This window comes from Homo sapiens, chromosome 16 (genome assembly GCF_000001405.40).
Source record: "Homo sapiens chromosome 16, GRCh38.p14 Primary Assembly".
In the NCBI taxonomy this organism is placed as follows: Eukaryota; Metazoa; Chordata; class Mammalia; order Primates; family Hominidae; genus Homo; species Homo sapiens.
In genome coordinates, this window is record NC_000016.10 from 56,092,730 (window position 1) to 56,108,875 (window position 16,146).

The following is a 16,146-nucleotide window of genomic DNA, read 5'->3' on the forward strand; positions in this document are numbered from 1 at the left end:
CTATGAGAATTTACACATGGTCCAGGGCGTGGTGGCCCACACCTGTAATCCCAGTGACTCCAGAGGCTGAGGTGGGAAGATCAATAACTTAACATTCACAATGTTCTGCATGAAAAGAACCAGGAAAATGTAAGCTCTAACAGAAAAATCAGTCTTTGCAAGCAGATCAGGAATGACAGAGATGTTGGAATTGGCAGACAAGGAATTGAAAACAGCTATAATACTCTCAAGGAGCTAAAGGAAAACATGAACCAAATGAGAAGAGAAATGGAAACTACTTTTAAAAATCCAAATAGAACTTCTAGAGCTCAAAATACAACATCTGCAATAAAAAATTAACTGGATAGGACTAAGATCAGATTAGATAGTGCAGAAGAAAAGATCAGTGAACTTGAAGACAGGGCAGTAAAAACTATTCAGTCTGATACACATGGGGGGAAAAGGCTGAATAAACGAAGAAAGACTAAGAGGACATGGCTGTATTAGTCATAGTTCTGCAGAGGAGAATATACATATACATATGAATGTATTAGGGAGAACTGACTCACATGATTACAAAGGCAAAGTCCCATGGTAGGCTGTCTGCAGGCTGGAGAATGAGAAAACCTAGCTGCGTGGCTCAGTCCAAGTCTGAAAGCCTCAAAATTAGGAAAGCTAACAGTGCAGTCTGCAGCATGAGGCCCTGGGCCTGAGAATCCTAGGGGAGCCACTGGTGCAAGTCCCAGAGTCCAAAGGCCAAAGATCCTGGAGTCTGATGCCCAAGGGCAGGAGAAGAAAAGGCATTCCACTCTGGAAGAGAGAGAATGGGCTAAGTTAGCTCTTCATCTAACTTACCTGTGCTTTCAGGGCCTGCTCAGCCCAATCATGTATATACCACTTCCATTCGATGATGGAATGCTGCTGTGCATGCCTGACTTTATGGCTAGATGGGTCAGATAACACCTACTCCATGATGGGCAGCTCAGGTCGCATGGAAACTTGGTGGCCCATGATTAAGCATTCAGTTTCTATTATACTAAGGCCCAGTAGCAGACCGAGATCTGTCTCTCAAAAAGAGAGCAGTGGGCTGGGCCCGGTGGCTCATGCTTGTAATCCCAGCACTTTGGGAGGCTGAGGTGGGCAGATCACCTGAGGTCGGGAGTTCAAGACCAGCCTGACCAGCCTGACCAGTCGGATACACACAGGGGTAAAAAGGCTGAATAAACGAAGAAAGACTAAGAGGGCATGGCTGTATTAGTCATGGTTAGTAAAGTCACCCATCTCTACTAAAAATACAAAATTAGCTGGGCATGGTGGCAAATGCCTATAATCCCAGCTACTCAGGAGGCTGAGGCAGGGGAATTGCTTGAACCCAGGAGGTGGAGGTTGCGGTGACTGGTGAGCTGACATCGCGTCATTGCACTTCTGGGCAACAAGAGCGAAACTCCGTCTCAAAAAAACCAAAAAATAAAAAACAGAACAAACAAACAAAAAAGGGTAGTTATCTGCAGATGCAAGCAAGACCTCACTCCAAACCCTCAAGGCCTCCTTTGTGATTCACCTACAGGGACCTGCCAAGGCTCCAGACAGCATCCCTATCTGCCACTGACACCTCAAGCACCATGGAATCTGCTGGATCATGTGGCCCAAGAAGCAGAGCAGCTTGTGCAGCAGCCTGGATCTGTTGCAGAGCCTTCCCCTGTTCTGGGCCCCACGCAAAACTAGCAGCTTTTCAGTCATCTGATCAATGGGCCAGAGTAGCACATCCAAATAAGGAAGCACATCCAAATAAGGACTGTGTTGCCTCTACAATCCAAATAGGCCCACTAGGTGTTGTGCCTATTTCCTGGTTGTAGGTGGGGCCAGATACAACAACTTATCCTTCACCTTAGAAGGGATATCCTGACAGCCCCACATCACTATACCCCCAGAATTTCACTGAAGTAGAAGGCACCTGAGTTTTAGTTGGATTTATTTCCCACCCTCTGAGATGCAAATATTTTACCAGTAAGTCCACAGTGGTTGCTACTTCTCACTCACTAGGTCCAGTCAGCATAATGTCATCAATGTAATGGACCAGTGTGATAGCTTTGGAAGGTAAAAGCAACCAAGATCCCTGGGAGCTAGATTATGACATAAAGCTGGAGAGTTGATATACCCATGAGGTAGGACAGTGAAAGGTATATTACTAACCTTGCCAGCTGAGGGCAAACTGCTTCTGGTGGGCCTTATGGACATGTATGGAGAAAAAGGCATCTGCTAGATTAATAGTTGCATACCAGGTACCAGGAGACATGTTAATTTGCTTAAGCAAGGAAACTACATCTGGTACAGCAGCTGCAATTGGAATCACCACTTTATTAAGCTTACAATAATCCACCGTCATTCTCCAAGATCCATCAGTCTTTTGCACAGGCCAAATAGGAGAGTTGAATGGGGATGTGATGAGAATCACCACCCCTGCATCTTTCAGGTCCTTGATGGTGGCACTAATCTCTGTAATCCCTCCAAGGATGTGCTATTGTTTTTGATTCACTGCTTTCCTAGGTAGAGGCAGCTCTAATGGCTCCCATTTGGCTTTTCCCACCATAATATCCTTCACTCCCACAGGTTAGGGGACCAACATGGAAATTCTGCCAGCTATGTCTATTCCAATTGTGCCTATTCCAATTATGCATTCTGGAACTGGGGAAATAACTACAGGATAGGTCCAAGGACCTACTGGACCCACTGTAAATTGGAACAGAGCTAAAACTCCATTAATTAACCTAGCCCACATAATCCCCTACTCTAACTGGAGGGCCACAATGACATTTTGTGTCTCATTTTAAAAATTCCTTTAAGTGATCATTGTCTAAAGCAAAGATAATAACAATGTATTGTGGGATTTATAACACATGTAGAAATTAAATATGTAACAATAATAGCACACAGCATGGGAGGAGAAATGGAAGTATACTGTTTTAAGGGTCTTGTATGTAAAGTAGCATAGTTTTTGGAGATATACTTTGGTAGTTAAAGACACATATTGCAATCGCTAGAACAAACACACACAGAAAAAGAAGAAATGAAATAATAGTAATATAAACAATAAAATATATTAATAATAAAATGAAAAATAGTAAAATAAAATGGAATACAAAAAACATTCAATTATTATCATTCAAGAAAAGACAGGAAAAGTACAAAAAATAAATGAAACAAACAGCAAGTTAGTAGACTTAAAGCCAACCATTTCAATAATTGCATTACATGTAAATGGACTAAATGATGAAATTATAACGCAGAAATTGTCAAACTGGACAAAAAAGTAAGACCCAGCTATATTCCTCAAGAAATTAACATTATATATACAAACATAGTTTAAAAGTAAAACTATAGGGAAATGATACACCATGCACACACTATAGCTGGAAGAGCTACATTCGTATCAAAATAGACTTCAAGGCAAGGAATATTATCAGAGATAAAGGGAGACATCTTTTTTTTCTTTTTTCTTTTTTTTTTTTTTTTTGAGATGGAGTCTGACTCTGTCACCCAGGCTGGAGTGCAATGGTGCGATCTCGGCTCACTGCAACCTCCGCCTCCCGGGTTCAAGCGATTCTCCTGCCTCAGCCTCCTGAGTACCTGGGATTACAGGCGCGTGCCACCATGCCTGGCTAATTTTTGTATTTTTAGTAGAGATGGGGTTTCACCATGTTGGTCAGGCTGGTCTCGAACTCCTGAGCTCGTGATCCGCCTGCCTCAGCCTCCCACAGTGTTGGGATTACAGGCATGAGCCACCGCACCAGACCAACATTTCATAATGATAAATAAGTCAAGGCAAAAAGATAGAACAAACATAAATAGGTATTGGCCTAATAACAGAGCTTTAAAATACATGAAACACATATTGACATAAATGAAAGGGTAAATAGATAAATTTAAATTATAGTTGAAGTTTTTCAAAACTCTTTTTGCAATAATTCATAGGACAAGTAGACAGAAAATTAATAAAAATATAGAAGGCTTGAACATCACTGTCAACCAAACTGACTTAAACAACATTCACTCACCAGGTACAAAATACATGTTCTTTTTTTAAATTGATACATAATAGATCTACATATTTTCATGGTACATGTGGTAATGTGTTACATCCATATAATATATAAAGATCAACTCAGGATAATTGGGATATACACCAACTTCAATGTTTATTTTTCCTTATGCTAGGAATGTTCTAATTATTCTTTTAGCTATTTTGAAATGTACAATAGATTTATTATTCTTTTCAAGTGCACATGGGACATTCAGCAAATAGGCCATATCCTGAACTAAATGTAAAAAAAAAAAATTATAAAGTTTCTTAGGAGAAAAATTTCACAATCTTGGGGCAGATAAAGATTTCCTAGACAGGACAGAAAATATACTAAACGTAAAGAAAGAAAGCGATTAAAATTGATAAATTGGATTTCATCAAAATTTAAAACTTCTTGTCTTCAAAAGACAAGTGAAAAGACAATAAGAAAGTGAAAAGACAATCCACAGTCCAGAAGAAAATACTCATACATATATCTGGTAGGACTTGTATACAAATATAAAAAGAACTCATAATACAATAATTAAAAAGGCAAATTGAAAATTTTAAACAGATAAATTTTCCAGCAGACACTTTGAAAAGAAAATATACAAGTGGCCAATGAGCACATCATCAGGGAAATGCAAAGTAAAACCATAATGAGATGTGACTACATACCCACTAACATTTAAAACACTTACAGTATTGAGAGTTGGTGAGGATGTGAAACAACTGGAACTTTCATACACCGCTGATAGGGGTGTGAAATGGAAACATCACTTTGGAAAACAGTCTGGCAGTGTCAAAGTTGAACATATATTTACTATACGACCTAAAAGTTTCACTCTGAGGTATGCAAATAAAAGAAATGAAAACACATTCACAAAAGGCTTGTGTGTAAACATTCATAGCTACTTTATTCACAATAGCCAAAAATGTGAAACAGCCTCAAATTTAGTCAACATGGACAATCAAGTTGTAGTATAGTCTCTACCATAGAATACTACTCAGCAAGAAGAAAGTAATAAACAGTATGGAGGAATCTTTAAAATATCGTGCTAACCAAAATAGGCTGACACAAAAGACTACACCCTTTGTGACTGCATTTTTGTGGAGTTCAACGGCAGGCAAAACTAATCTATATTAATAGAAATCCAACAAGTGGCTTCCTGGGTCGGGGGTGGAGGAATTGACTACAAAGGGGCTCAGAGGTATTTCTGGGGTGATAGAAATGTTCTATATCTTGGTTGTGACGGTGGTTACCTGGGTGTATACATTTGTCAAACCTTATCAAACTCAACACTTAAAACAGGGTGTATGTATGTTATACCTCAATAAAGTTGACTTTTTTAACAAGAGGTTTTTGTCCTTCGGGGGTGTCAATCCAGATGGGAAAACCATATTAGAAACCCAGGGGACTCCCCTGTGGTTCCACACAAGCCAGAAGGGCATTCTACACTACTTTATGCCTTGCATACCTAGGTGCCATGAAGATCCAAGGAAAGGGAGATGGGTGGGGGACTAGTCAGTGTAAGTTTCATGAAGAATCTGATGCACGGAGAGAAGGCTTGGAAAAGAAATAGACCATAGGGTCTTGGAAGCAAGGCAAAGGATTTATAAGGCTGAAAATGGGCATTCTTGGGATCCTGAGTTGGGCGATGGCAGTGTGAGAGTGCTATGGGTGGGGAATCCGGGGGCAAGAGTCCAGGAAGGAGGCTCTGGAAGGTGGGTAAACACTGACTGATGGAGGTCTGCTCTAGTGAGGTGACCTGGGGATACAAAGGGAGGAGTGGACCCGAGAGCCATTCCAATGAGCACAAGCCCTTGGGGGATGTTGGCTGTCTCTTACAGAACTAGAGAACTTTCTGAACCATGGAGAGGATGGAGCTGAGACTCTGAAGTCTATTGCCCTAGCTCCAAGCTGGCTCCACCACAAAAAAAACTTGGGGAAAATTTCTTAAGCACCCAAACCTTAGCTTTCTCATTTGTAATACGGGATGAATAAAAACATGCAAGGTTATTGAGAGGATTAGAGGTGAGGCAGATAAAATACCTGGCATGAAGTTATAATAAATGAAAGAATTATAATTAGTCCTAAGGTTCATCAGAGATTCCTGAGACCCCCTATGAGGTGTCTCCTTCCTTTAGGTCTCAGGGGTGGGGTCACAACTATGCTGGATTAGTGAAAAGCAAAACACTAATAAATATATCAATGTACAAGTGTACTCATCATCAAGGACAAGCAACAATAGGTACACATGTCATTTACATGTGTGTGGCACATGGGCAGCAAAAAGAGAAGGAGGTGGGTCCCTTTGTCCCTTTCACTAAAAATAATGGGTCAGCGCGTCCAACTATGGAAATCTGGGCGAAGGGGTTCATAATTCAGTTTCTCCACTGGGAGAAAGATGCCTTTTTAATCTGCAAACTGACGGAAAGTAGCCTACTTACCCTAATATCTCTGTCATTAAGTGGCCTCCTTGATACTTTGATACAGGTAACTGTGGCTCTCAGGGAATCCTAGGAGACCACTGTTCCAGAATCTCTTCTCCAGGTAGGGACATGTGTTGCGGGTGTCGGGCGAGCACAAACTTATTACAGTTGCTCAGATCTAGGGAAGATTATTTTTCCTACATTGAAAAAGACAAGCATTTACTGAGCATCTACTGTTTACAAGGCAGGTAGTGTGTTAAAGGCTTTACCTGAAGTGCCTGGTGTAACCATTCATTTATTCAGCAATTATTTATTGAGTTGCAACAAGGCACTGTGTAAGATGTCAGGGATGCACTGGGGTCAGGGAGACAAGCAAACAGTTCACAACCACAGGATGGTAAATATCACAACACAGTAGGACCAGGGCAGAGAAGCAACACCTAACCTGGTCTTGGCAGAGGAGGGTGCAAGAAATCTTCCCGGAAGGAGTGAGACCTAAGCGGAACACTGAAGCCCAACTGAAAAGTAAGTTAATCGGGTGAAGGGGAGGTGTGGATGGGAGGCTGTGGGGGAGTGGAACATTCCAGGCAAAGGAAAGAGCAAGCCCTAAGGCCTGGCAGTAAGAGAGACAGAGAATAGTTCATTAGAGGAATTGTTAGCAGTTCACTATGGTTGGAGCAGAAAAATGGCAGCAGCAGTAAGCAAAGGTCTGGTCATGAAAGACTGACAGGCCTGGAATCGAGTTACAGATTTAGCAAATGAAAATACAGTTGCTAAACCTGATGAACACTACCTTAGCCAGGTGATCAAGGTCAACATCAACAGTGGTAAGTCATATGGACAGTACAGACCCTTAACGAGATGTGAAGAGAATGGCTCTTGACCTCTGTGGTCTTCCTCCCAAAAAAATAATACCCCAGCCTAATCATGAGAAAAACATCTGACAGGCTGAATTGAGGGGCATTCTACAAAACCCCAGACCAGTGCTCCTCAAAACGGTCAAGGTCATCAAAAACAAGGGAAGTCTAAAAAACTGTCACAGCCAAGAGGAACTAGGAAGACTTGACAACTAAATATGATATGGTGTCCTGGACAGGATCCTGGAATAGAAAAGGACACTGGGGAAAAACTAAGGAAATCTAATGAAGTATAGACTTTAGTTAATGATAATATATCAATCTTAGTTCATTAATTGTGACAAATGTATCATACTGGCATAAGATTTTTTTTTAAAAGATGGCATCTTACTCCGTCACTCAGGCTGGAGTGCAATGGTGCAATCATGGCTCACTGCAGCCTCGAGCTCCTGGGCTCAAACAATACTCCCACCTCAGCCTCCTGAGCAGCTAGGATTACAAATGTGCGCCACTGCACTGGCTCGACGTAAGATATTAGTTATAGGGGAAACTGGGTGCAGGGTGTGTGGTAACTCTGTACGATCTTTATATTTTTTTCTGTAAATCTAAAATGATTCTAAAATTAAAAGTTTATTTAAAAATGCAGGTTGCCCAGTTAAATCTGAATTTCAGACAAACAATGATTTTTTTTTTAGTGTTAAGTATATCCCATGCAATATTTGGAGCATCATTATACTAAAAAATTATTCAGTGTTTATCTGAAATTCAAATTTTACTGGGTGTCTTGGCAACTCTGCCTGGAAAGGGGTTTACCCTGAGAACAGTAAGAAGGGCAGTGATGAGCTACCAAAGGTCACAGCCAGGACAGCATATGATATGCCACTTCTACAGCAGATGTACAGGTGAGGAAACTGAGGCTCGGTGATATAGCCAGTCTCCCTGCTAGCTTAGTGAGGAAGCAAGGATCTGAACATGGGCCTGCCTCACCCTAAGCCTGTGTCTGTCCATTACACCTCCAGACTTCACAAAACTTTTTCTTTTTTTTTTTTCTTCAACTTTTATTTTAAGTTCCAGGATACATGTGCAGGATGTCCAGGTTTGTTACATAGGTAAACGTGTGCCATGGTGGTTTGCTGCACAGATCATCCCATCACCTAGATATTAAGCACAGCATACATTAGCCATTATTCCTGATTCTCTCCCTCTCCCCACAACCCCTCAGCTCTGACAGGCCCCAGTGTGTGTCATTTCCCCTTATGTGTCCATGTGTTCTCATCATTCAGTTCCCACTTATAAGTAAGAACATGCAGTGTTTGGTTTTCTGTTCCTGCATTAGTTTGCTGAGGATAAGGGCTTCCAACTCCATCCATGTCCCTGCAAAGGACATCACAAACCTCCTTCCAGAAACATCCACCTCCATGAAGAAGAGCATGAATTCACTCTTGCTGGCAAAAAAAAAAAAAAAAAAAATGAAGTGGGGGTCAAGAGCACATATTGAGCCCAGAGGACTCCAGCAAAAGCAGGCAAGTATTCCTGAGCACTAAAACACAGGGCCACACCTCCTGCTGGGCACCAGCTCTCCACGGAGGTCTCCCTCGCCCTCTTATCTGCCTTTACCATCACAATCAAACCAGGGACACTCAGAGCCATGAACTGAAATGTTGGAAGGGGACTTAGGAGCCATTCATCCAACATCCCCCTTTGGGCAGGATTTCCATCCACAGTTGTCGTCGTGAATGTCACCTCCTTGGTTTGGCTCTTAATTCTTGGCTCCTGTTTGTGGCAGTCTTTCCTCACCTTCGATTCCCTGCTTCCAACCTGTTCAGGTGTCAGAAAGCAGTTCACCAAGCTAACTAGACCTAGGTGTTAAGTAAAAGTCAGTGGTCTCAAGCAAGGGCCCAGAAGTCTCTTCTGTGTGGAAAGAGAAACTTTGTAATGTGTATTCCTGCTGCTCAGGGATGTTTGGGGCTTACCTCCTCCCCATCTTGTTCCAAATAGATGTTGCTGCTTTAGACCTGGGTTCCATAGAAATGAGGTTAAATAACTGCATTTAGCTTAGCACAGCCCAGGAGTTACATTAGCGTATTTTAGTAGCACAAGGGAGAATACAGAGGAGCAACAGAAGGGTGATGTGTGCTCGGCCAGCAGAGTCTCCTGCAGGAAATTACTGACGCCAGCCAGCTGCTCCAGGCCCCTGTCAGGCTGTTTCTCCTCCTCTCCTATCTCTCAGGGGATAGCCGTCCTGCTATGGCTTGTCAGCTCTGGAAGACAAAGAGGGTAAAACTCTCAGTTGGCTGAGTGCCTGTCTCTAGCACGTCCCCTCCAGAAGCCAGGGCTGAACACAGCCCTGCCAGGGGTGGGGGTGGGACGAAGTGTCCAGCAATCCTCTTTTCTCTAGAAATGGGATTGGAAATGGGGTAATCGTCTAAATGGGCAGTCCTGATGAGTCGATAAGCATAACTCCCATTTTATTACGGTGATGAGGCTGCCTGAGCGGGCATAATCCCTCTGCCGGGCTCCAGGCGATTGCTAGGCAGCCAGCCACTACCCCGCCTCTCCACCACGGCTGCATTAGTCTGATGGGAAGAGGCTGAGCTCTCCACTGAATTGCATTTCATAATGGCATTTAAAAGCACGGATCCCGGGTCACGCCAGAGTCCAGGACACTGCTGGCCAAACTGCCTCTCCCCCTTCATACTGCCCTCCTGCTCCCCCAACCAGTGATGGGGACCACATGGTCAAAATGCAGGGCCACGCTCAGCCAGGTAAGATGAAAAAGATGTCAGGGAAGACCCCAAATTAAAATGGATCAAGAAAATATGATATTAGGTTGGTGCAAGGGTAATTGCGGTTTTGCCATTAAAAATATTGGCAAAAACCACAATTACTTTTGCACTAACCTAATATAATGGAAAAACTGTGGATTCTGGCACCCAGCAATCCCACTAACTCTCTGGGAACTCTATTTCCTCATCTGCATTATGTGATTTATATGGTTCTTTCCTGCTCTCCCACATAAATTCATAGATTCATGACTCTCCAACCCAGCCACGAATTCCACCCTTATAGACTAATTCCTTTGTGTTGTAAAGGCTGTTTTATCTTTCATACTTCCCTATTGAAATTATAATTTACTACTTTACTAATGCACACTTTGTGGGAGAGGAAGACCTGTTAGTAGCTGGAAGCGAGGCCCTGAGGGAACAGGACAGGCAAAGGAGGAGTAACCAGGAAGATGCAAGGGGTTCAGGAAGGGAGGTGCAGAGACACTCAAGGCCATGTCATCTGAGAATGGGTGAGGTCCAGGTAAAGGGCTGCAGATTAGGACAGCTGGTTCTGCCGGTGGAGCTCAGGGGCCTGCAAAATAAATCACATCATGTGTGCATATCTGACTCCTGAAACGAGGCTTCATCTTTACCCTATTCACTCACATACTCACTCACCCATCATCCAGGAGGCAATGAGGTACAGAAAAATTAAGACTGCTTTTAGGGCCAAGTGTGGTGGCTCACACCTGAAAGCCCAGCATTATGGGAGGCCAAGGTGGGAGGATCCCTTGAGACCACGAGTTCAAGACCAGCTTGGGCAACATAGTAAGACCTCGTCTATACAAGAAATAAATCAATGAAAATTACCCGGGTATGGGGTGGGTACCCATAGTCCCAGCTACCCAGGTGGCTGTGAGGTTGGAAGATGGCTTGAGCCCAGGAGGTTGATGCTGCAGTGAGCTATGATCATGCCACTGTACTCCAGCTTGAGTGGCAGAGAAAGACCTTATCTCTAGAAACACAAACAAACAAACAAAAAACTAGACTTAGATCGTAAAGCTAGGCCCTAGCAGCAATGCCAGTATTTAATTGTCATATGACATTGAATGAGGCATTTACCATTCTAAGCCAGCAAAATAAGGCTAATGCCCACCTTGCACACTCCATGGGCAGGGTTGCCACCTTGCACAACTCCAGGGGGTGCCATGCCCACAGGAGTCTACATGAACTGAGCTCACCAGACCTAGGCAATGCGCAACTTGCACAGCCAAATGTAGCAGCCTGACTTGTAGTTAAAATGTCAAATGACATAAGCTACATTAGCCATAAACACTATTAACACAGCAGTATTATTATATCGGTCACATTCTAGAAGAGGGTGCTAGATATATAAAACATATATTCTTGAAAATTGAAATTTAGTAGCATCAAGTTTTGCATTCTATCAAATTCAACCATTATATCACCCTAGTGTTATCTTTGTCATTCAGACTATAGGAAGCATTAAAAAGAATAGCAAAATAGGGGTGGCTCCAAACCTAGGGTGAGGCAAATACTCGTCCTTATGCATGATGTGTCTTCCTGGTCCCAAGCCCACTTTGCCCTTGGTACTATCAGCCTTTTGAAATATTCTTTATTATAAGACACTCAAGGGATCTCAGTGAAGGCAAGCCACCATGATGGACATCTCAGATCAGGTTAGGAGGACCAGAAATGTCCAACCCAAGAGTAATTTCCCTGGATGTCACACCCTCTCACACACCAACTCACCATCAGCTCAGGGCAGCAGGTCCTGAAAACACCCTCTCCTACTGTTATGCACTGAATGTCTGTGTCCCCTCCAAATTTATATGCTGAAATCTAACCCCCAATGTGATGGTGTTTGGAGGCAGGGCCTCTTTGGGAGGTATTCAGGTCATGAGGGTGGAGCCTTCATGAATGAGATTAATGCCTTTAGAAGAAGAGGTCAGAGAGCTAGCTTGCTCTCTTTCTGCCAGGTGAGGATACAATGAGAGTCAGCTGCTTGCAACCCAGAGGAGTCCTCACCAGAACCTGACCATGCTGGCACCCTGCTCTCAGACTTCCCAGCCTCCAGAACTGTGAGAAATAAGTGTCTATCATTCATAAGCCACTTGGTCCAAGATACTTAGTTACAGCAACCCAAATGGACTCAGATACCTCCCAACCTTCCAACAGGCCACTTTTGCCTGAGAAAGGAGAAAAACCACAGATTTGTGACTCTGCCACTGCCCACTACTCCACTGACTCCAAATCCCCTCTGATTTTTCCCCTGACCATTGGTGAGGGTGGTTAGGCAGGTTAAAAATGTTGAAGTAATGTAAAGTTCCTTGATCCCTTGCTGCCCTTACAGGAGGGGGAAGATGGAAATAGAGAATACTAAATGCATTTGTTCCCATTTCTCCATTCTCATTCACTGTCCTGATTCCCATCATCTGCATCAGATGCCTCCTAATGTGTCTCCCTGGTCCCAAGACGAGTTACCCTCCACACCTCCACCCCACACTCCTCTCAGAGCTTCTGCTCTAAAACACAGCTCTTGACTAGTCATGTCCTTGGGTTGCAGGCTGCACAGTGCCCCTGTACATAGAGGGCACCATCTCAGCCATAGGCTTGTTCCCAACCTCACCTCTAGCCGCTTCCTCTCACATAACCAACATGGCAGCCCCAAGGGGTGGCTCTCTGTTCCTGAACAACCCTCATGTATCTATTCATTCAATGAATGTTTACTTGAGACTCTAAGGTGTATTGGGGCACTGCACTGGGCACTGGAAATGTAGTAAAGGCAAACCCAGCAGGATCCTGGAGCTCCCAACCTTCCAGGGAAAACAGACATCAATCAGATAACCACAAAAATAAATGTGTGATTACAAACCATGATATTTGATAAGGAAATGTGCTCTGAGATGTACTAGGCAGAAGGGCTGAAGCAGTCAGGGGGATCCAGGGAGGTTTCCCTGAAGAAGTGATATTTGAGCTGAAACCTGAAAAATGAGAAGGGATGAATTAGGTAACGGGGGTGGGAGGGGAGGATGGCAGCAACAGGAGAAAGTATTCCAGGTTGAGGGAGCTACCTGGGCTGGGGGCCTGTGAGCAGACTGGTGCCACTCGGGACAGGGCTGGGGGCACTGGTAAGGTCTCCAGGGGCCAGATCATGAGGGGCCTTAGAGGCCCTGCTGAGGATTTGAGTCTTTATCCTAAGAGAAAGTAGAAGGCATTAAGGGGTTTTAAGCATTGGGAGGGAGGTAGTTTGGGGACCGTGTGACGTGAGCAGATTTGCATTTCAGAATGGTCATTCCAGCTGCAGTGAGAAGGGGCTGGAGGGCTCAGGGTGGATGTGGGAGGTCCATCAAGGAGGTAGATATTGCCTCCATTCTGAGCAAGACACATGGATGCCAACTTGGACTGGGAGCTGAAAACGGAGCAAATGAACTGACCAAGCCAGTTTACCAAGGCAGATGGATGGGTGGTGCCATCTGGAAAGATGGAGCACTGGAAGATGATTGGATTTGGGTGAAAAGATCCTGAGATCTGTTTGGGACAGAATGGGTCTAGGGAGCCTTTGAAGCTTCCAAGTGGAAATAACAGTGATGGATGGGTCTGGGATGGAGACATGCATTTTGAGAGTCATCTGCACACAGACTGCAATGGAAGATATGGACATGAACCAGATTGCTTCATATCACCACTTAAAGCCACCTTCTCTCTCCAGTCACTCCACCTGTGCCTGCCCCCCATGCAGGGAGACAGGTCTCTGCTGCCTCACAGTGACCCCACAGGCCCCTGTACGAGCTCCTGCTGCTACAGTGCCTCTTGTATTGTTTTACGGCCACTCGCTTACATGTCCGTTTTCCCCACTTATGATCCAGGAACACCGTGAGGACAGAGACACATGGCTCTCCTTCTGATGTCCTCAGCACACAGAGCACATCCTGACCCTTTTGTGAGCAGTAAGTTACAGGCCCACTTTTCCGACCCACCACAAAGCCCCAGTGCAATGTTCCTCCAGAAAGAGGTGAAAATGCTGGCCCAGACCCAAGAGCCTCATCTAAAACCCAGTCTCAGAGTCCTCAGAGGGGAAAGTATCTCACTTGCACATAGAAACCAAGATGGGCACTGAAGAATTTTAAAAAGAGAATGGTACTGATGTTTTCCCACTGTTACTACAGATAAGCAAGCACTCAGGGAATTTATGGGAGATGGATTGACAGGTAGAGAAATGGGTAAGCTCGGTCCTCAAGGAGCTTCCAGTACCATCTCTTACTCAGAACTCGCTGTGCTCATTATAAGTCAAAACAAAGTTATGTGTATTTCATGTGCAATATCTACAAAAAGTCAAAGCCTCAGTCCTCAAGGAGCATATAATTTCAAGAAAATATAGAACAAACATAGATGAAAATTTAACTCTATCAATACACACAGAGCCACCCCTACCCTCTCCAGTGCCTTTTTCTAATTAGAAAAAGGTGCCTTTCCTCTAGGCAGACATGGCACCTCAGTCAGCAGGGTATGTGACTTGGCTGGATTCTGGATTTAAGCCCATGTCCCCCTACACTGACCTGACATCTTTGTGCAGTGCACAACCTGCACAACACATATATGACAGGAGTAGCAGGTGCTGATAACAAGGAGGGATTGATATAGGATGGATGAACAGAGACTAGCTAGAACTGATTGGGTAAGAACAGAAGAAACAACTACAAGGAATGCCAGAGGCATATCCAGTGACAAATCAGATTTGACCAAGGCAAAGGGTACACTTGATGGAGTAAGGAAATGAGATTGGGAAGCTTAGTTGGGAAGTAATTAGGGAAGGCCTCAAACACCAGGCTAAGGAGTTTGCACTTGACCTTGCAGGAACTGACCCCTGCCTAGGGTCATTATCCTCCTTTCACCAAAGTAGTGCCACAGAGCATTGGCTGCCAGTATCAATTCTCACCAAAGAAAGTGCCCACTTGCACCCTGAAGGTCATGAAAGATACCAGGTGACAAGAAAACAACTAAATATCTTTGTGCTGACACAGAACCCCTAATAAGGTCTAATCCCTTGCATTTGTAGCCTGCATAAAAATATATGTTTTATATCCAATATATTTATTGTTACAATAGTCTCCTTTGATTAACAGGATAAGAAAGCAGGGCAATTAAGGACCTTGGTGAAAGTCAAAGAAAAAATCCACAGGGGCAAAGCTGTGACTTGAACCCAGGTCTATCACTCAGAATCTGATGCTCAAGGGCACTCAGCCTCCCTGCACTTGCCTCAGCAGGGTCCCTCTCTCACCAGTCACCACACTGACTACTTGAGTTTGCCAGCCCTGGGTCCTTTCCAAGAAAAGACAAAGCTTCCAAACAAGCAGTAATGACATTGATTATTCCAAGCCAGAGGCAGGGGATTCTGGATCATTTCCTTAAAATACTTGCTCAGCAGCACCCGGGTCCTCACCCCCACCGCCCCTGGTCCCAAGAAAGATATGTACAGTACTTCATTAACATGAAGGGGAGAATAATTCCCTGTGGATTTTTGCAGTCTCATTTCCCTAGCTTGTCAAATGCCAGCAGCAAGCCAGTCTGGCTGCATTGTTAGCTTGGCTGCCTCTTATTTTTGTAGTGTTTTGCAGATTGCAGCAGCTTTTTTTTTCCAGCTAGGTGAAAACATATCACCTTTAAGCTTCCTGGTGTATCACTCAAAAGATTTTCCTATTCTCCTTGGACTTCATAATACAGAATTCTCTTCTGCTATCACAAGCCATTTTTTTTTCTCCAAGAAAGAACATAACATTTATTTTTAATACCATACTCCAAGATATGTGATCAAAATGTAATTTAAAAAAAAAAACAAATAAATAAAAGACTTTCCAATATGTCACGCAAAAAATAAAAGACATGCTGTTCAAAAGCTAAATTTCAGTCATCGTATTTACATTCCTTTTTTTTCTGCTTCACCCTTTTGTTACTAAGGAAGTTGGAATGAAAGGGGATTTGTCTCTTTTTCTCAAAAACCCATCTCTCGCTGCTAAGTTTCTCCACACCT

At 43.7% G+C, this 16,146-nt stretch overlaps 1 long non-coding RNA gene across 1 annotated transcript in view, besides 1 other annotated feature; it reads right to left on the reverse strand.

Annotated features, from left to right (window-relative positions):
• Positions 1-257: 257 nt before the first annotated feature.
• Positions 258-16,146, reverse strand: part of GNAO1-DT (GNAO1 divergent transcript) — a 98,108-nt gene continuing 82,219 nt past the window's right edge. The window contains exons 3-5 of the long non-coding RNA NR_027078.2: positions 9,303-9,590; positions 8,317-8,483; positions 258-789 (exon numbers count right to left, since the gene is read on the reverse strand). This is a non-coding gene — a long non-coding RNA (GNAO1 divergent transcript). The remainder of the gene's footprint in view (positions 790-8,316; positions 8,484-9,302; positions 9,591-16,146) is intronic.
• Positions 9,349-9,849: an enhancer, noted in NCBI's record as "H3K4me1 hESC enhancer chr16:56135990-56136490 (GRCh37/hg19 assembly coordinates)". NCBI's record gives its function as "activates a minimal SCP1, AML or CMV promoter by ChIP-STARR-seq in primed H9 embryonic stem cells {active_cell/tissue: H9 hESC(primed)}" and the evidence as "EXISTENCE:reporter gene assay evidence [ECO:0000049][PMID:30033119]".